At 43.3% G+C, this 22,081-nt stretch overlaps 1 pseudogene; it reads right to left on the reverse strand.

Annotated features, from left to right (window-relative positions):
* Positions 4,276-5,389, reverse strand: SLC25A51P3 (SLC25A51 pseudogene 3; annotated as a pseudogene).

Here is a 22,081-nt window from a genome sequence, read left to right on the forward strand (position 1 = left end):
GTTTCTTAAGTATTATCCCCAGACCAGCAGCATTGGCAGCACCTGGGAATCAGAAACTCTGGGGTGGGACCCAGCAGTCAGCTATCAAACAAGCCCTGCAGATGATTCCGATGCCCACTCCAGCTGGAGAACCGCTGCTCTAGTTCTCTATTTTTTCAAGGTATGGGCCTCAGACCAACAGCACTGGCACCACCTGGGAGCTTGTTAAAAATGCAGACTCCTGGCCTCACCCCAGACCCAAGAGGTTAGAATCTACATTTTAAGAGGATCCCCAGGTGATCTGTATGCACACTAAAGTTTGAGAAGCCCTGCTTATACCCCAAATAAGTACCACTTTGCTGTGAAAATCATCAAGTGTAAGCTCCTTTAACAAGAAGCAAAATCTAAAATCGATGTTTCCCTTTAAGAACAGAAGTGGCTTTAATTCTAGAGAAACTGAAGCAAATCACTTGGAACTATTGGAACTATACTACTAAAACAAATCCCTGCGTTGTGTTATTAATTCAACTGAAGTGAAGGATTCAAATACAATGAGATGTAAAGTGCTTTTTTTTTTTTTTTTTTTTTTAGTAGACAGAGTCTTGCTCTGTTGCCCAGGATGGAGTTCAGTGGCGTGATCTCAGCTCACTGCAACCTTTGCCTCCTGGGTTCAAGGGATCCTCCCACCTCAGCTTCCCTAGTAGCTGGGATTACAGGCATGCACTACCACACCTGGCTAAGTTTTGTATACTTTGTAGAGATGGGGTTTCTCCATGTTGGCCAGGTTGGTCTGGAACTCTTGGGTTCAAGTGATCCACCGGCCTCGGCCTCCCAAAGTTCTGAGATTTGCAGGCGTCAGCCACTGCTCCCAGCCAAAATTACACGTAAAGTTCTAACCTCTGTCCTGTATTATTTTGTCTTTCCGTAGTTTCCTAGTTTCATATAGAGTGTGTCAAAGTATTCTACTCCAGAGCCTGACTTTACACCTTTGGAATACAAATTTGTGCCACACATACAAACACACACACATCTATTAGATTAGTCAGGGTTCTCCACAGAAACGGAACCAATAGGATATATATAGAGAGAGGCAGAGGGCAGTGGGGAGGTATTTTAAGGAATTGGCTCACGCAATTGTGGGGGCTGGCAAGTCTAAAATATGCAGGGCAGGGCAGCAGGCTGGAAATTCCAGCAAGAGTTGATGTTGCAGTTCGAGTCTGAAGGCAGAATTCCTTCTCCTTAGGGGACCTCAGTGTTTTGCTCTTAAGGCTTTAAACTGATTAGATGGGGCCCACCCATATAATAGAGGGTAATCTGCTTTGTTCAAATTGACTGATTTAAAAGTTAATAACTTCTAAAGAACACCTTCATAGAAACATCCAGACTGATGTTTGAACAAACAACCGAGGATGTGGTACAGTGAAGTTGACACATAAAATTAACTCTGTGTCTATACACATACACACATATACATCCATATGTTTATAAAACATTTTTGAATGTTCTAGAAAGTCATAAAATATGCCTATTATCAGAGCTAGTGATAATTCGTAAAGTTCATCTATTATTACTCATTCTAAATGGGCTTTTCCTCTGTTTTATTTTCCCTTTCATTTCCCACCTTGCATTAAACTTATGTTCAGACAGTATGGCCGGGCGGGTGGCCCATGCCTGTAATCCCAGCACTTTGGGAGGCCAAGGTGGGCAGATCACCTGAGGTCAGGCATTCGAGACCAGACTGACTAATATGGTGAAACCCCGTGTCTACTAAAAATAACAAAAATTAGCCAGGCGTGGTGGTGCGTGCCTATATTCCCAGCTACTTGGGAGGCTGAGGCAGGAGAATTGCTCGAACCCGGGAAGTGGAGGTTGCAGTGAGCTGAGATCATGCCACTGCGCTCCAGCCTGGGTGACAGAGCAAGAACCCGTCTCATTAAAAAAAAAAAAAAGTTCAGACAATATAAAATCTTAGGATAACCTATGGTGCTCCAGATAGCTGTCACAATTGCTTGTCCTCTCATAACTTTCAATAGCAAATTTGAATTAAGTAAATAATTTTTGACAGTTGCAACTTAAAACACACACAGTGAATCTTATTTTAAACATTGCCCCTGAGGTTTAAGTAAACTTGGCCTAATCCCACAGTTAAAGGCTTGAAGCAGTCAGAAGTTATTTTTACTCTCTTTTCAAATTATCAGCCTACCTTCCTCACTCTTTATTGACCTTGGCTTTTGTGTCCATAAGGGCCATTTAGGTAAGGCCCTTGCTATACAAAATGACAACTCCAGACCAGGCAAAAAAAAAAAAAGAGAGAGACAGCTGTGCTGGAGATAGACGCCAATTAATTTTGAGGCTTTTTTCTTTAGTGCATTATTATTATTATTTTTGAGACAGGGTCTCACTCTGCCACCCAGGCTGGAGTGCAGTCGCATGATCAGGGCTCACTGCAGCCCTCCTGCCTTAAGCAATCCTCCTCCCTCATCCTCCCAAGTAGCTGGGACTACAGGCATGCACCACCATGCCCAGCTAATTTTTAGTATTTTTATTGGAGATGGGATTTCGCCATGTTGGCCAGGCTGGTCTTGAACTCCTAGGCTCAAGTGAACCGCCCACCTCGGCCTCCCAAAGTGCTGGGATTACAGGTGTGAGCCACTGCGCTTGGCCAATACATTATTTTTTTAAACACAATAAATGATTTCTGTATGATAGTATAAAGGTCATTTGTGTAGGCAAGATTCTGAAGATATTGTGGTTTTGCACAGCCCAAAGAGAGAAAAAGGGGTTAATTTATAAGAGAATTTCTAGGTGTGGCCCCGGATAGCTCCTTGGATTTTTGCTTGCATATGTCTTAGTTGTGTCTTAGCTGTGCTTAGCTAAGGGATTTAGCTATGCACATGAGTCACTTTAGACCTCCACCGAGGTTGAAATTACTGGGTACCAAAAGTCATGCAAACACTCTGGATATGACAGTGATTCCAGAGATACATTTGGCCACTGTTTGTTTAGGTGGATGATGGTGTCGGGTGGGACTCTCACCTGTGGCAGAATCTCATCCAATTTAAGGAGAAATGAGGCTTTGATGGAAGGTATCACAGAACTGCTGTGCTGCGAGACTGAGGGCAGCTGCAGACACTTGGGGACGGCTCCTGCATCCCAGGATTGGCTTATCCCTGATCATTCTCTCAGGCTCCTCCATAAAGTGAGATGGCTGCTGACCAAGCTGAGGTTACCTGAGTATAGCTTAAGATCAAAGAGGGAACAGGATTTCTTATTGGCTCCAGAAGAAACATCTCCCTAGTTGAGTCACAAGCTCATCCCTAGACCATCACAGCAGGCAGGAAGAAGGTTCCGCCAGGATTCCAGTCCAGGTCAGTTACCTTGCATGAATTTGTTCCTAGAAAAAGTGGGGACAAAGTTGGGCTGGGCAGATGTAAAACAAAAGCTAGTAGAGTTTAAGAATTCACTTGTTCATGGATTTTAATCGCTGTCTTGGCAGTCTCCTTCTTCTATGAGGAAGTTTCTTACCCTTCTATAAGAGGTTTTCAGTTTTTTGTAGTATGCCACCAAGGCAGCCATTTTTGCTTATGGCTGATTTTTCATGCTTCATCTTGTATTTATTTCTTTTCCTTGGGGAACTCTTGCTGTTATAGCAAAGTGTTCTATTTGGTAAGTATTGGGGTTATGTTTGGTTGTGGTGTAATAATTATCTGGCATATGGTATAATAATTATTTTTTTTTAATTTTTTTTGAGACAGAGTTTCACTCTTGTTGCCCAGGCTGGAGTGCAGTGGCTGGATCTTGGCTCACTGCAACCTCTCTATCCTGGGTTCAAGCGATTCTCCTGCCTCAGCCTCCTGAGTAGCTGGGATTACAGGTGCCCACCACCACGCCTGGCTAATTTTTTGTATTTTTAGTAGAGACGGGGTTTCACCATGTTGGCCAGGTTGGTCTTAAACTCCTGACCTTTGGTGATCCACCCGCCTTGGCCTCCCAAAAGTGCTGGGATTACAGGCTTGAGCCACCGCACCCGGACTTATAATAATTATTTTTAATGGCTTCGTTGAGTAAGTAGATGTTCTTGTACCAATCTCTTGGACACTTAAATTATTTCTAATTTACTCTCTTCCAAATGTGGCAAGATGGGATTTTCTTTTTTTTTTTTTTTTTTTGTCCAATTGGAACCTTTTATTCTGTTTTGTTGATGCTTAAGGAAAACAGCTTTGCCCATAACTCACTGTGGCCTGGAGTTATGACACCAACTTGTACTTGGCCAATTAAGAAAGAGACCAAGCTGCATTCTTCTTAGAATGTCTATTCAGTTGATAAATGGCACTTAACTGATTTTTTTTGCATATAATCTTTAACAAGAACTCATAAGTTGCATTGATTATGCCCCAAGAAATAAGGGACCGATGGTAATTCAGATAGGCACCTCTGAAAAGATTTATCAGTTTTCTGTCCCATTCCAGCCAGACTTTTTGGAAAACCTGGGGGAAAGACTGAAATTCCCCACCAATCTGAGACCATATGTGAGTTTTTACAACATTAATTGGAAAAAACAAGAATCCCAACATGGCACCCAATAGACCTCCACAGATAAAATCATTGACCAAATGAGCACTGTGAGTCATTTCGGTAGGCAGATGCTCCTTAATGGGACCTCGAAGGCCGAAAAACAAGACATTGCTGAGTCCATTCCAGAAAAGAATGGGCACCAAGCCTCAATAATACTCTCCAATTCTGTGACATTTCAGTGCCTTGAAAGCCTGATACGTGTTGGTAAATGTGTCATGATGCTTGTGGTCTTGAAGCAATGTCTGAACTCTTTCCAGAGGAGTGAAAATTGCTTCTGTTGTCCCTGAAAGCACTGCCGCCACACCACGGGCTGCAAACTCTGGAGCACTGACATGCTTGTGGAGAAGGTAGGATAAATCCTTATAGAGACCAAACATAAGTGCAAGTGTAGTTGTCTTCTGCATCAATGGGGGAAGGATTCCACGATACAAGTTTTGAAATCCAACCCTTCTCAACTGAAGTATTGCATCACGAGTTTTGATGCTATACAGCTGTTGTCAAAAGAGGACCTTCTGAATGGGAAATGTGATTGTGATGTTGTTGAAGGCTGCACAGCAGCCACACAAATAATGCTTCATTTCACCAACATTTGTAATATGAGGTGATATATCTTGTTTTGAAGATATTAGTATTGGCAGCCTCTTTTCATGAGCTTCTGAATCCATCATGTTGCTTAAGATCTTTCTTTTTCATGAAGGACTTTTTAAAACCTGTAACATCATCTGAGCCTGGAGTTTGGCAGGATGATAGCTTTTTGATAATGTTCCCAATTTCTTCCATTGTTATTGTTCATTAGGTTCTCTCTTCTCGAGTCAGTTTTGATCACTGGATTTCCGTTCTCCAGGCATCCATTTCCAAGATGAGATTTTCTTTTACCTTCACACCCATTTTTTTCTTTCCCTTTTCACCTTCTGTGAGAGAAGATATTTTATAGACAGAATGAAAAGAACTGTTAGTAGAATAAAAATTTGCTATGAGAGGTAGTCGATGTCAGAAAGAGAAAGGCTTGTTTTTCTGGTAGTTGTTCTCCTCTGAAGAATCTCAAAGGCGAATGCTTCCCCCATGAAGCATGGTAAGGACCTGCTACTTCTGTCAGGTTGGAGATGCTTTCACTTTATGGGTGATGCAAGAAGAAACATGTACTCTGGAGGAAAGGAAGAGGAAATATTTTTTTAAAAGACAAAGACGGAGGGAAAATGTAGAAAAAAAATTTTTGGAAACGTATTCATGGAAGAATCTGGATGGACAGTGAGGGTTTTATGGTTTCACAAAATAGAAACTAGGCTGGGTGTGGTGGCTCACACCTATAATCCCAGCATTTTGGAGGCCTAGGTGGAGGGATCACTTGAGCCCAGGAGTTCAAGACCAGCCTGGGCAATGTAGGGAGACCCCTGTCTCTACAAAAAATACAAAAATTAGCTGGGCGTGATGTTGCCTGCCTGTAGTCCCAGCTACTCAGGAGGCTGAGGTGGGAGGATCACTTGAGCTTGGCAGGTTGAGGCTGCAGTGAGCCAAGATCATACTCCTGTCTGGGCAACAAAGAATGAGACCCTGTCTTAAAAACAAACAAACAAAAAAAACAAACCAAATACAGATAACTTAAGCATTGAAAAAATATGGGGCTGGGCATGGTGGCACAGGCCTATAATCCCAGCACTTTGGGAGGCCAAGGTGGGAGAATCACTTGAGTCCAGGAGTTCGAGACCAGCTTGGGCAACATAGTGAGACCCCGTCTTTACAAAAAATAAAAAAATTAGCCAGGCACAGTGGCTTGTGCGTGTGGTCCCAGCTACTCTGAGGGCTGAGGTGGGAGGATTGCTTGAGCCCGAGGAGGTTGAGGCTGCCGTGAACTATGATCACACCACTGCACTCCAGCCTGGGTGACAAAGTGAGACCCTGTCTCCTCCACCACACAAAAAAAAAAAAAAAGGAAAGAAAAAATATGGGTAGGTCACAGGATTTAAAAATAAATGCATGAACTAGACTTAGAGCAGAAACAGAGAAGTTTCAGAGCTCCAGGGGGAAGGAACTAATGGCCATTCTCCAGCATTAGGCCCTCAGGATAAATTAGCCTCAGTCTCTGGTTTAGCTAGGCTTGGCCAGGGGAGGTCAGGGTTCTTGGACAGTCACTTGTAGCCTGTGTACAATGGCAGAGGGGTAATTGCTCAAAGCAAACTCAAGGTATTGTCACCAGAAGAAAGGGGAATGAATGCTGGCCAGGTAAAAGCAACAGTTGCCCTCTACAATGTCTGGATGAAAACTGAGGTAATATGTTCACCATCTTCTGGGGGCCATTTGCCTTTTTGATGGGCCAGTAATAGGATTGCTTTATTTCTTGTAATGCTATGCTTGAGTACAGGCAAAACTATGGGATTGCATGAGTAATGTGGTAATGAAGATCATTTGCATTTCTTTTGTCTTCTTCTGAGTTATTTTCTGGGACAAAATTCTCAGGCATGGAATTATCAGGTCAAAGGGGATGATTATGTTTGTGGCTACACTACTTCAATTCTAAATGGAAAATAAATGACAGCAAAGATATTCAAAAGAGGGCAAGGAAAAATAAAAGTGTTGGGCCCTAATTTTGTCAACCATGTTTTGTAAAGGATACAATAAGACATATGGAATAATAGTTAAGGTTACGAGATAAAGGAGTAATATTATTAAATAATATTTTGGGAGTGCCAGTCAAGGGAAAGATCTCAATCTTGATTGTTAGGTACTTTAGATTTTGAGCAACAGAGATACCCTCAGTTTACCTTAGTTGATGACCTTCCTTCCTTCCTCTTTCTCTCCCTTTTCTCTCTTTCTTTCTTTTGAGACAAGGTCTTGCTCTGTTGCCCAGGGTGGAATGCAGTGATGCGATGACAGCTGACTGCAGCTTTGAACTCGGGGGCTCAATTTGTCCTCCCACCTCAGCCTCCTGAGTAGCTGGGTCTACAGGCACGTGCCACGATGTCCAGCTAATTTTTATATTTTTTATAGAGATGAGGGCTCCCCATGTTGCTCAGGCTGGTCTCGAACTCCTGAGCTCAAGTGATCTTCCCACTTCAACCTCCCCAAATGCTGGGATTACAGGTATAAGCCATGGCCCCTGGCTAGTAGTTTCTTTTTAATACAAATTTTATTTTGAAGGAGTTGACTGAAAAGTTACAACTACAGAAAAAAAACCTCTTTCTTTTTGATAACCATTTGAGGGTAAGTTGCCAAACTAATGCTTACCCCCGCTGAAAACTTCAGTATTCATTTTCTCAAACAAGGACATTCTCCCACATCACCATAGCCCACTCATTCAAGGCAGGAAACTAACACTGATACATTTCTACCGTCTAATCCTCAGACCCAGTCAAGTATTGCCAACTGTTTTAAATGGTTAAAAACAAAACAAAACAAGTTTGGAATCCAGCATTGGATTTAGGTGTCATCTCTTTCCATCTGGAACACTTCCCCAGTCTTTCCTTGACTTTCATAACCTTGATACTTTTGAAGAATACAGACAGTTATTTGATTATTATGAAAGCAATACTGTGTTTTCCTCATTGCCTCCTATCAGGGAGCACACAATGTTGATTTATCCCATTTATTATGGTGTTTACTTGATCACCTGATTTAAGGTGGTGCTAGGCTTTTCATTATAAAGTTACTCTTTGACCATGTGTAGTTAATCACTATTTAGTTAATAAGTGTTTTGTGGGGAGGCACTTTGAAACTGTAAATATCCTGTTCCTTGCCAAATTTTGAATTTATTTGTATCAACATGGACTCACAGTTTTCTGTTTCATTCAATGGGTTATAATAAGTTGTTATCACAATTTATTTTGATACTCAAATTGCCTCAGACTCGGCCACTGAGGGCCCCTTCAAACTGGCTCCTGTGTCCCTTTGACATGCCTTATCAGTCTTTGAGCATTTCCTTGATTTCTGGATCAACAAGATCTTCCAGGTCATCCTATAATTTTCCTGCCTCCGCCTTGGAAATAGCCATTTCTCCAAGAAGCCTGGGTTGACTTTTGGAGAGAATGATATTTAAGAACAAGATCTGCATGCTGGATGTGCTCATTGCAATTGGGCTGTGCTCACTGCTCCTAGGCCCTTTCACTAGACAGAGCCAGGGAACACACACACACACACACACACACACACACACACATTTGTTTCTGTATCTAAGCATCTCTTTCATCTGTATTTATGTATCTAAGTATCTATCTACCTACCTACATATCAAAAACCATAAAAAAGCTGGGCACAGTGGTGAGTGCCTGTAATCCCAGCTACTCAATAGGTTGAGGCAGGAGAATTCCTTGAGCCTAGGAGTTCAAGACCAGCCTGGACAACATAGTGAGGCCCCATCTGAAAAAAACAAAACCCCAAAACCATAAGGTCACACTGACATCACAGGGTTCAAGCTGGTTCTACTACCCTTAATGTATTTACCTATTTTATCAATATTTCTACATGCAACCAATCTCATGTCACCTCTGCTGCCTCCTCCCCAGCATGGACATCTCCTCATCCCATCAGTCCTCTGACCCTCCATGCTGCCTCCACCCCCACCCCTCTGGTAGACAGTTTCCCCACCCTGCTTGGGCTCCAAAACCCCTCTGACACCTGCCACGACACCCCCACATGTGGGTGCTCTGTGCATCCATCTCAGGCTCTGACATCACTTGCTGGAAAGTCCCTTTTGCATGGACAAAAGTCAGTTTCTTTTAAGGGAGAAAACACTAGAGATGGTTTTAGAAAGGTCGGCTTCCAGAGCCTTTGTCTTTTTTTTTGAGACGGAGTCTCCCAGTCTGGAGTGTGGTGGCACGATCTCAGCTCACTGCAAGCTCCACCTCCTGGGTTCAAGTGATTCTCCTGCCTCAGCCTCCTGAGTAGTTGGGATTACAGTCACCCGCCACCATGCCCGGCTAATTTTTCATATTTTAGTAGAGATGGGGTTTTGTCATGTTGGCCAGGCTGGTCTGGAACTCTTGACCTCAAGTGATCTGCCCGCCTTGGCCTCCCAAAGTGGTGGGATTACAGACGTGAGCCACTGCACCCAGCCTCAGAGCCTTTGTCTTAAGAGAAGATCATTATAAAGCGTGGGTGAAGTCCAGCGGCCATTCGAAGGGCACGCTAGACTGCTGTGCAGTCAAAAAGACTTCAAGAGACCCAGACCTCTCTTTTTCTTTTTTTATTTTTCTTTCTTTCTTTCTTTCTTTCTTTTTTTCTTTTTTTTTTTTTTTTTGAAAAAAGGTCTCACTCTGTCACCCAGGCTGAAGTGCAGTGGCACTATCTCAATCTGGGCTCAAGCAATCCTCCCACCTCAGTCCCCTGTAGCTGGGACTACAGGTGTGCACCACCACACCCAGGTAACTTTTCTCTATTTTTTGTAGAGACAAGGTTTTGCTATGTCTCTCAGGCTGATCTTGAACTCCTGGTCTCGAGTGATCTGCCTGCCTCGGCCTCCCAAAGTGCTTAATTACGGGCATGAGCCACTGTGCCAGGCCAAGAGCTAGAATTCTTCAGCACTACATAATTTTTACGTTGGCCTCTTGGAGACCATTTTGTCCTTGAGGAAACCAGGGCCTAAGCAGGTTGCTCACGCAATACATCTTTGGTTTTACCTGTAACAGCACAGACTTCCAGAAAAGTGTTCTGTTACTTGCTGTGATGTCTTATCTTTCTTTATTTTTATTTTTTGAGATGGAGTCTCATGAATGCAATCTCAGCTCACTGCAACCTCTGCCTCCCCGGTTCAAGCGATTTTCCTGTCTCAGCCTCTGAGTAGCTGGGACTACAGGTGCCTGCCACCATACCCAGCTGATTTCTGTATTTTTAGTAGAGATGCGGTTTCTCCATGTTGGTCAGGCTGGTCTCGAACTCCTGATCTCAGGTGATCCACCTGCCTCGGCCTCCCAAAGTGCTGGGATTACAGGCCTGAGCCACCGCGCCCAGCCTGATGCCTTTATCTTAAATCCGTAAACTTGTTTCAGTTGGCAAGTTGAACCTCCCCCCTACTCGAGCCTTGATGGAAAATCGTTGATGAGGTCCCCTCTGTGACCCCCTGGAATAGACAGATTCAGAGATGGCTGTTCAGCCCGGCAGGGGAAGGCATTGAGAGGAAGTGCTGGACAGACTTCCCCACACGATTCCAGATGGCTTCTGTGACTTTCTCGAAACCACAGAGGTGATAGGAGGCACACAGGGCTGGCAGCCTCTTTTCTGACTCTCTACTGCCAAAATCCATAGAATATCTTGTTGCAGCTCAGAACCAAAGAGTAGGCAATCACTGTCAATGTGGGTCCTGTTACAAGTGAGGGCAGAGACTCAGGTACAAGGCAGGCCTAGGCTACGGTATCTGCCCACCCTGGAGAGACTCAAGGTGTTTCAGGAAAACAGGAAGGACAAACAGATAAAGGGGGTGTTGTCTAGAAAACAAGTGGAAGAGAGAAATTTAAATTAAAGGACTGAAGCTTGTTAGTTTATAGCCTACATGAAAGACATTCAGAGGCTATGGCTGCCAGATAGCCAGAAACTAGAGTTTTACCTGTTAGTTAGTTTCACAAACAAACATTGTTTAGAAATCATTAATACTTTTGCTGAAAAAGTACATATACATTGTAAAAATTTTAATTACACATTCCTATTACAACTCTTTAATCACAGTTCCCAAATCCTCAAACTCTAAAAACTAAAGTTTGAAAAAAACTGCTATCTTAAAAAAGAAAATTTTAAAGTGTAGGTAAAGCACACATGTTATTTGGAGCTGCTGAAGGGATGTGCCAGGCTAATAATGCAGTGAAAGAGATGACAAAAGAGCCAGAACTCTGGAGAATTAGCAATTTTAGGTGTAAATGAGTACTTTACAAAATATATAAAACATGGCCTGAGCAGACATGAAGCTCTTATTTTGTTGCTATGGAAATATTTGTTGTTGTTGTTCTTTAAGACAGAGTCTCACTCTGTTACCCAGGCTGGAGTGCAGTGGCATGATCTCAGCTCACTGCAACGTCCGTCTCCTGGGTTCAAGGGATTCTCCTGTCTCAGCCTCCCGAGTAGCTGGGACTGTAGGCGTGCACCACCACGCCCAGCTAATTTTTGTATTTTTAGGAGAGATGGGGTTTCACCATGTTGGTCAGGCTGGTCTCAAACTCCTGACCTCAGGTGATCTGCCTGCGTCAGCCTCCCAAAGTGCTGGGATTACAGGCATGAGCCACTGCACCCGGCCATGCTGTGGAAATAGTGTGTTTGATTATGGACAGTTTTTTGGCTCTCCTTTCAGATATGTTCTATTGCCTGTGCCTAGAGAAACAGCCATTCAAGATACTTCTTAACATTTTCCTTCCTGGCCCTCACTTTTGGCTTAAAGATGTTTCCACAGTCCCAGAATTGTGCCCCAAGATGGGAAGGGAACGGAATAAGTGCTTAATGGAATGCAGCAAAAAAAGAGCAAGGATAATTTGCCACGTTCTGGATCATTCCCCATATGCCTTCTTTTATGATTCCAGTTCTTTAGTCTTCACTTAGCATTCAGTGGAGAATTCCCGAGTAAGAAAAAGAATTCTTTCCCATCAAGAATTTTTTCCCATCCAGAAATAGTAAATCACTTTATATATTTATTATTAATGTAACCTCCATATCGCTTGCTGCGTGGGCTCGCTGCCTGCGCTTTCTGGGCTCCTGCCTCTTTGCACCTGGGAATTGTTACCTGCCTGAACCTTGAAGTATTCTTCCACACCTCACCCTCCTGTGACGATGCTCCCACAGAGCAGGCCAAGACATTAAAATAGTGGAATCTATAACATGGATATGAATGAACCTGTAAACAATACCTTGAATGAGATATTGCAAATAACACCTGTAGTACATTTCCTGGCATTCTATTAAGACTCCAGAACTGCGCATCCTCATCATCACCATTACTGTAGTTATTATTGTTCTAATGCCCAGAAGAATCTCCAGGCAAATTTGTCATCTTCCCTTGTTCGTTGACCTCACTGGGTAAATGAACTGTGACTCTGGACTCATCCTGTGCTTTCTCATGCTTATTGCTTGGGCCTCAGCAAATGGGGCTCCCCCCCGCCCCATTCTCCCCAAACCTCACAGAGTGTGCTGATTTCCAGCATCTTTAGGTCTTACACTGAATTGCATTGTCATGCAGGTAACTGGCACACTCCCTCCCTGTGGGCTGATGATGTTATACAGCATGGACTTAGAAGTAAAAAACCTTTTCAGATTTATTCCAGAACAGCTATATTCCCTTTTCGTAGAGCATCATACTATTATCTCTTTTTTCTCTCTTCCAAGAAAGCCCAATTTTCCCATCCCACAAGAGAAAAAGAATCCTAACTCTGAGAACACCCCCACGTGTTCCAAATGTGGCTGCTTTCTTGACTTTCCCAATAGCAAACTCAAAAAATTACACCTTTGTTCTCCTGGGATAATTTGTATAACCTATAAGTTATTTAGCCTTTTAACCCACATAGACAGTCTTTATACATTTTATTTTTCATTATTATATTAATAAATAACCAATGTTTCTTAAAGATGAATTAGAAAATATATATGAGTTGCTGTAAATGAAAAAAAGAAAATTACATATAATCTCAACGGCCAGGAATTGCTATGTTAGCATAATAATGTATGGATTTCCATATTGTCTCATAGAGTCCAGTTCTTGGGATGAAATTATTATGTGCATAACATTTTTTAACCTCAATTTAAAATTAAGTTTAACATATTTTGAAACTTTGCTTGTCAATAAATCAAATCTGATGGAATTCCAACATGGAGGTCCAGTCATGGCAGGAGAGGTGATATGATTAATAGCAAATAGTCTTACTGTTGATTCATCAGCATCCACACAGAATCTAAAAATTGACAAAACGTCGCTATAGCAGAGAAGCTGTGTTGAACAATTTAATTAAGAGTGCACACCACAATCTGTGATTATCTTCTTGTTTATTTTTTGCTATCTTGTTTCTTGTCTATCATTCCCTACTAGAACATAAGCACAACATCCAACACATAGCAGGTCCTCAATAAATATCGTCTAGTGAATGAATGAATGAATTATTGAATTCATATTCTCTCTTGCTGTTCTATAACTAAGTGGATTGTGGCAGGGAGAGAGAGTGCTCTCCAAGTCTCCATGGTCTCCCCTGCATTTCCCAGCATCTCTTGCAGAGAGGGTATAGCCACATGACAAGTTCTGGCCAATGAACTGTGAATGGGAGTAACCTGTGTCACTCCTAGGCTGTGGCAATTAAGAGCTAGTAATGCTTCCTGCCTCTCTTTCTTTCCTTGACTCATGACTCTGAAGGCCAGGTGTTTCAGTTGACATAGCTACAGAATGGAAGAAAGACATTTAAACCACAGCAGACTTCTGTAAGTGAGAAATAAGGCTTTTTTTTTTTTTTTTCAGTTCATCCACTGATATTTTAGCGTTTCCCTTTTGGGGACTTACTGAAACACAGTCAAGACTATCCTGACACACACAGATAGAAAACCAGAATTAGACATTTGCTCTTTGGTTGTGAGATTGAACAAATTTAATTGACATAAACAGGATATAGCCTATGATTATAACCTCATGGTTTTATTTCCTTGTTTGATTTTAAAACACCTACCCTGAAGTGCTTGGCTGAAGGCAAAGCATATAAAATCTGAAAATATTCTGAATGTAAATTCAGTTTCTTCAGATGTGTCATGGTTTGAAATAAAATATTTTAATTTAGTACGTTATTTAGATTATTTCTATTGTACATTCTAATTTCTCTCAACCCATAGGTTGTTTATAGTTTCTGAACAGAAACAATTCCCTTAGAGCTGTAAAAAGGAAAAAATACTTGTGCTTTTGGGGTGTCATATTTTTAGGCTGACAGCTGCAATGATGCCAAGTAGGATGAAGAGAGAGAGAGCTATTGGTCTGCTGTGGTCAATCAGTTACCTATTTTAGAAGTTCCCAAACTTTCTCAGTTCATAGCTATAGTCATTCAGTTATTTATGCATGGGCCCTAGGCCAAAAGATTTATATATATATATAGATATAGATTTATATATACAGATATAGATTTATATATATAGATTTATATATATATATATAGATTTTTATATATATGCACACACACACACATATATATATACAAATATAGATATAAAACATTTTGGTTTATTAAAGTCCAAATAACTTAATGGTAGCATTTGTACAGTGCCTGGCAGATGTCACCTTGTTTCCCTCAAAAGCTTGAAACCTCCTGCAGTGCTCATCTTCTTCACTACAGTGACCCAGCGTACCTCAGCACATAGTTTGGGAACCACAGACATCTGATTTAATATTTGTGGGATTTGAGGAGCCCTATCTTTTAAGATCTAGCCTTTCATGAGCCCCTGTTTTATTGTAAAGAAATCTGAATATCTACTCATAACGTGTCAAAAGGTAGTAACTTTTTAAAAAATTGAGACGGGGATCTTGCTATATTGCTCAGGCTGCTCTCAAACTCCTGTGCTCAAGCAACGCTCTCACCTTGGCCTCCCAAAGTGGCGTGAGCCACCATGCCCAGCCAAAAGGTAGTAACTTGAGCTTCATGTGAAATTTGGAATTTTGTATTTCATTGAAAGAAGTAGTCACCAGTGTGGATGACAGGTAAGGGTCGCTAGACAGAAGAATGGAGCAGTAAGTCACTTAGTCTCTGATCATTTCCAGCCTCTGTTTTCTTCCAGAAGTCTGTGCTCTTGTGGGTTTCCTGTGGCCTCTCTAGCTAATCCTTCACGGTTTCTTTGATGGGCTAATCCTTGCTATGGAGCTTTTATTGTTGACATTCCTCAAGTCCTAGTCCTCAATTTCCATTATAGACTATGAGCAGATGGCCCCAAAATGTAGAATATTTTTCTTCTTACTGGTATTTCCCTTTTAAAATTTCCCCAGTCCTTCAATAAAAGAAAGTCAACCTTGATAACCAGGTGATTGGAGAGATGGAAGGGTAGGACAGTCAAGAGGTGCCTCCTTGGCTTTCTCTCCCTCAGGCCCCATAAAGAAAAGCTGGATCCCATGAAGGGAACACAGGTGCAGGGGGTGACATGGTGACCAGCAGTACAGTGAAGGGGCCACGGTGAGGCAGAACTTGATGGAGACGCATGACCTCCACAGAGAGCATCTCGGGAAGTGACTCCAGAGAGGGAAAGAGTCCATTTTCCCACAATGTGAGAGCAGGTGTTCTCCACCCTGGATGCTCAGGAGAATCAGCAGAGAATCACTGGGGAGATTTTTAAAGTGCCAGTCCCCTACCGTGAAACAATAAAACCAGATTTGGGGATGGGATCCTGGGCATCAGGAATCTAAAAATGCATAGCCAGGGTTGAGAACCACCTTGCTGGAGGAAGCTGACCTGAAGAATGAGTGGAGGTGAGGGTAGAGGAGCGTGAACTTGACTCTCTCCCTGCTCTCACCAAAGGTCCAGGAGATGGGAACCTGGACCTGCTGATGGACATCTTGCCACCATGTATAGCCCAGGAATAAACCTAGCATGGGAGGCTGTGGAGCTGAGCTAGGAAGAGAGTCAAATTTTGCTGACATCATTTGAGACATTCCTGAAGCTAATACTGTTTCTGGAAATGTCAGTTATGTATCCCACATCTTCTCTTTTTACTTAAAACCCAGTATGGCTTGGGTTTTCTGTCTTCGCACGGGAACAGCTGAGGACTGCTTGTGTGGTTATTACTGCCTACCTCCTTCTTTAACACCAAAACCTTGGAGGGGCGTTTGCATTTTAGGGATTATATGAAGGGCTTTTGTTTATTTATTTTTAATTGCTTTGAGACAGGATCTTACTCTGTTACCCAGGCTGGAGTGCAGTGGCATGATCGTAGCTCAGTGCAGCCTTAAACTCCTGGGCTCAGGAGATCCTCCTGCCTCAGCCTCCTGAGTAGCTGGTACTATAGGTGCATGCCAACATGCCTGGCTAATTTTTTTTTTTTTTTTGGTTTTGAGACAGAGTCTCCGAGTCTCACTCTGTCACCAGGCTGGAGTGCAGTGGTGTGATCTTGGCTCATGGCAACTTCCACCTCCTTGGTTCAAGTGATTCTCCTGCCTCAGCCTCCCGAGTAGCTGGGACTACAGGAGTGCGCCACCACGCCCAGCTAATTTTTGTATTTGTAGTAGAGACGGAGTTTCACTGTGTTGGCCAGGATGGTCTCGATCTCTTGACCTTGGGATCTGCCTGCCTCAGCCTCCCAAAGTGCTGGGATTACAGGTGTGAGCCATCACATTTGGCCACCTGGCTGATTTTTATTGTTTTTGTAGACAGGGTCTTGCTACGTTGCTCAGGCTGCTCTTGAACTCCTAGCTTCTAGTGATCCTCCCACCATGATCTCCCACAGTGCTGGGAATATATGCATGAACCACCACACCCAGCCCGACAGGCTTTATTTTTGCTTTGGTTGGCAGAGACTGCTTATTGTGTCCCAATATTTGCTCTCTCTTTTGTCCATGTAATAGCATTTTTAGCTGAGCTGCTTAGACAAATAGACTACAATTCTTAGTGTCCATTGCCTCTGTGCCAATAGGCACAACTTTGGCCAATAGGATGCAAGCAGAAGCACAGCAGTAGCATGTGGAACCCTCAAAAACCAGCAAGAATGGACGCTGTTCTCCAACCTTTCTCCGTTGTGCTATCTGGAACATGGATGTCTCCATCTTCAGCTTGAGGAAGAGGCCGTAGGAATGGTGGATGAGTTGGATGAGTAGGATGGTAGTGAGTTGGATGGGGAGCTTGAATCCTCAGAACTCCAGGGAACAGAGCCACCACATTGACTGTGGCCTGATACTTCCAGAGTTCATTTATGTGAATGAGAAATAAATTTCTATCTTAATAAGCCAGTGCTATTTTGGGTTTTCTGTCACTCAAAGTGGAATCTAATTCTAACTAATATCCCCTATTAAGTTTCGTCTTGATAGATTTGGACCGTCACTTTGTGTCTTTGGGTCCTGATGTCATCATTCAACATCTCCTTTACCCCATCCAGCTATCTGTCATCTGTTAATGAGATCAGCGTGCCCTCAGTACTTCCATCCAAGTCATTAATAAAAATAGGATCGGGAGAGGGCTGAGGACAGCGGCCTCCAGCCTGCTCCAGCGAGCTCTCTCGTTAGGGTACTGGTGAGCTATCCACCTTGCCTTGGACACTTCAGAGGTGGTGTGGAGGAACATTGAGGAGTTTCAGCCATAGATCCACAGCTGTCAAGCTTTAGCATACATCAGGAACACCAGAGGGCTTTTTTTCTTAAATTTAATTTTTAATTTGTTTTAGAGAGAAACTTTTACTCTGTTGCCCAGGCTGGAGTGCAGTGGTGTGATCATAGCTCACTGTAACCTCGAACTCCTGGGCTCAAGCAATGCTCTTGCCTCAGCCTCCTGAGTAGCTAGGACACGACTATAGGCATGCACCACCATGCCTGGCTAATTTCCTTTCTTTTGTGGAGATAGGGATCTTGCCATGTTGCCCAGGCTGGCATCAAGCAATTCTCCTACCTCAGCCTCCCAAAGTGCTGGGATTACAGGCGTGAGCCACCAAAGCCCAAGTATCAGTATTTCTAACAAGTCTCAGGTGATGCTGATACTGACAGGTTAGAGGCCCCACTTTGACAACTACCTTTTTTGGAAGGTGAACTGCAAGACAGAACAAATACTTCAAAGTAGTTTGGCTCTAGAAGGTAAGTCCTTCAGGAGACAAGAGGGATGAACTGCAGAATATCTGGTGGAGGATTGGACTATGATGGGACCAGGCTCTGCATTGGGGCTTATAGGAAGGAGGCCAGCAGAGTGGGGAATGGATGAAGGCAGGTAGGTTGGTCCATTTGATTTTGGGAGGCTTCAGGAGGTTCTGGGCAACGGCATCTATATATATATATATTTTTTTGAGATGGAGTTTTGTTCTTGTTGCCCAGGCTGGAGTGCAATGGTATAGTCTTGGCTCACTGCAACCTCCACCTCCTGGGTTCAAGCGATTCTCCTGCCTCAGCCTCCTGAGTAGCTAGGATTATAGGCATGTGCCACCATGCCTGGATAATTTTTGTATTTTTAGTAGAGATGGGGTTTCTCCATGTTGGCCAGGCTGGTCTCGAACTCTTGACCTCAGGTGATCTGTCTGCCACAGCCTCCCAAAGTGCTGGGATTACAGGCGTGAGCCACGTGCCCAGCCAGTGGCATCTATTTTCTCAGTGAAAAATATGTCAGAAATTAACTGAAGCATTGACTGTTAACTATGTGGGGAGAAATTATGAAGTAGGGAGCAGCAGGCAAACTCAAGCATGGCTGAGTAACTGTGTAAGGAGGAAATGGACTAATCTTGGCATTAGTACATTACTAAGAACATCTAAGTATTAACCTATAAGCAGTTCCAAGGAGGAGATGGCACTGTATTCATCAAGATATCTCCAGGCCCAGCAAAGTGCTTGGTGAGTGCTCAAGTAATTTTTAAATTTTTTTTTATTATTTTAGAGACAGGATCTCACTCTGCATCTAGGATCCTGGCTCACTGCAGACTCAAACTCCCGGGCTGAAACAACCTTCTTGTCTCAGCCTCCTGAGTAGCTAGGACTACAGGTGTGTGCTACTATGCCTGGCTAATTTTCTTCTGTAGAGATGGGGTCTCCCTGTGTTGTGTAGCCTGGTCTTGAACACCTAGGCTCAAGTGAACCTCCTGCCTTGGGCTGCCAAAGCACTAGGATTATAGGCATGAGTCACTATGCCCAGGCTCCATTCATGTGTAACAATAAATGAGCCTGTGAAGTTTAATTTTTAGCTTATATTGTCCCTCCAGAACAAAATGGCAGTTCATTAGGTTTACGTGGGTATATTTTGTGTTAATTTTAATGAATTAAAAAATAATTTGTTTCACAGACAGACATTATATAATACATGATTGTTTTAAGAGAGATGATATTTCACACAATCATTGGAGTATTATCACACCTTAAAACAAAAAGACTGTAAAATGCACCGCCACCAAACCCTGAAATGCAGTTTTCTTCCTAAAGTTGAGTTACAGGAAAGTCTAAGAGGTTCTGCTTCATATGAACACCATTTTTGGCATCCTTCTGACACACGTGAGCTCAGAATCATGGTTCAGCAGCCTCCTGTCTGGGGACATGATAAATAAAGGAATAAATCTGTGGGCACTTGGAATAACTTCCTACCAGCTGCAGAGATGGGGATTGGCCTAAAACCACTGCCGGTTCTGACATGAAGTTAAGAGCGGTGGAAAGTCAGAGGATAGCTTTATCATTAAAACTGGTCTATACAGTAGGGGATGGTGACCAAATGTCTTGATTTGCCTGGGACTAAGGGGAATACCAGGATGTGGATTTTGCACTGCTACATCTAGGATAGTCCCGGGCAAACCAGGACAAGCCAGTCACCATTGCCGGGCTGTCCATGCTGGAGAAAAAAATCCAAAATAGTCGCTCATACAGCAAGGCTGCTGTTTTGATTTCTGGTAGGAAGCAGAGCCGGCTTCGTGGGCATGGGACTGGTATAGCAGAGTCGAATAGGACTCAGAAGAACTCATTCTTAGTTTGATGCTCTGCTGTAATTTGAAATTCTTCCTCATTTTTGAACAAAAGGCCGTACATTTTCATTGTGTACTGGGTCCTGCATGGTCTGCAGCTGGTCCGCAGATTATGGAGAAGAGAACTGGGGGTTCTTCCTGCCTTTATTCCTATGTGGCCTAACGTGAGAAGGGTTTTCTCTCCCTCTCTCTCCTTCTCCCTCTCCCTTTCTCATTGTTCCCTCCCCTCCCCTCCCCTTCTTTATCTTCCACCCCCTCCCTCTCCTCTTTCTGCTTTAAGCAAAATGTGTGCAAGCATTATTTTATCCATTATATTTTTTCATAGTCCATGCCATCTTATCACAGGTGTCTGTGTTTAAAAAAAAAAACAAACTTGGTTCACATGCAGCACTTCCACCCTGGATGTGTTTCTCCCAGCAAGAAAAAGTGAGCAGGAGAAGGACAGATAAAATATTTGGAAGTTTAAGAAAGTGTGGCAGCAATACCAGTTGAGGCGTCTCCAGGCTCACAGCAGGAAGAAGCCACCCTCTGGATCAAAGGGAACCCCCTCAGCAAAGATGAAAGGGGTGATAATTGTAAGTTAAGAGAGAGAGTTTTATAACAGAGGTGATAATAACAGCTGCATGGCAGGAAACTCAGGGAGCGTTACATTGGGGCTGGGTGGGTGGGGCCCAGGCAGGTCCACTGGGGAATCTCTCCTAAAACTCTGTGCTATGGGAAATCTGAATTCTCTCCAAGTTATTTCTGCTTTCCTTCTTGGATGTCAAAATCACACTTTTCAAACAAAGGGTGTCATTGTGGTGTTTACTTATGCTTTTGCAATTTTAAATGTGGAAGGTAAGGAGGACAGGGTGGGCTGAGACAGGGTAAACAACACTGAATTTGGAGTGTGAGGCCAGGTGGCTGAGCTGGGTACAAGGTTGTAAAGGCCACTTTGAGGCACTGGCTGAGCTCAGCTGTGTCTTCACCTTGACCGCACCTCCTGCAGGGAGGAACGTCCCTGGGGAGCAGCAGGGCAAGCCTGGAAGGGGAGGCGAGCGTGGTCCCATCAGCGCCACCCGCCTGGCGCCTCCTCCGGTGCACGGGGCTCACCTGAGCCATCTGAGCACATCTGAGCTACCTAGGTCAGCGCATGAGGAGGTCACCTGTTTGGGGCAACAGGATGCCAAGCACCGCAGCTTAGAAAGGTTAAGTGGAGCAGAGCCTGCTGTGCCAAACGCACGCTCTTTGAGATTTTAAACGTATTTTTTTTCTCCCTGTCTTTGCATGGGTAGGGTGTCAAAGCCATCTGGGGGATGAGGCATGAGAATGGGAGTTGGGATCTGCTGCAGGGATTCTGCCCCAGGCGCTGGAAGGTTGCTCAACTCTCGTGGGTTCTCTTTCCTCCTCCCTTGCATGTAGGCAGTAGGGTTAAGAATAGCTCTGTGAAGGTCTGGGTAAAGTAATCTGGCCTTCTAGGGTGGAGGTAGGGGGTGAGGATGGTAGAATTATACTGTAAATACACAGTATGACCTGGCTGGAAAATGATAATTTGTAAAGCATAGAAATCTTGGCTGTGTGTATATGTTTGGCTCCCCATTTATATTAAACTAAGTGATGAATGACTTTCAGGCAATGAGGCAGAAAAGCAAAAGCATTTCTAAGTGGCTGCCGAAAAGTCCAGGGGAAGAATACCAAACCCAGGCCTCCTCCTGCTTTGTTGCTAAAATGCCCTTGCATTGTAAAAGCTGTACTTTCAAGCTCTGGTTCAACAATATGAAAACTCAGAACTGCCGATAGATGATTTAAAAATGATTATGCATATCCAGACAGCTCTAGATGTAACTTTTATTAAAGAGTATACATTTAAAAAAATTGTTGGGGTCTTTGTGAGGTTAACTCAGGTTTCCCTTGGAAAATAGGCTATATTTGTGTGTTAAGGTAAAACTTTCCCAGCAAGGTAAATATTTAAGAAAATAATGACAACGTCACCATT

This window comes from Homo sapiens, chromosome 8, assembly GCF_000001405.40.
Source record: "Homo sapiens chromosome 8, GRCh38.p14 Primary Assembly".
NCBI lineage: Eukaryota > Metazoa > Chordata > Mammalia > Primates > Hominidae > Homo > Homo sapiens.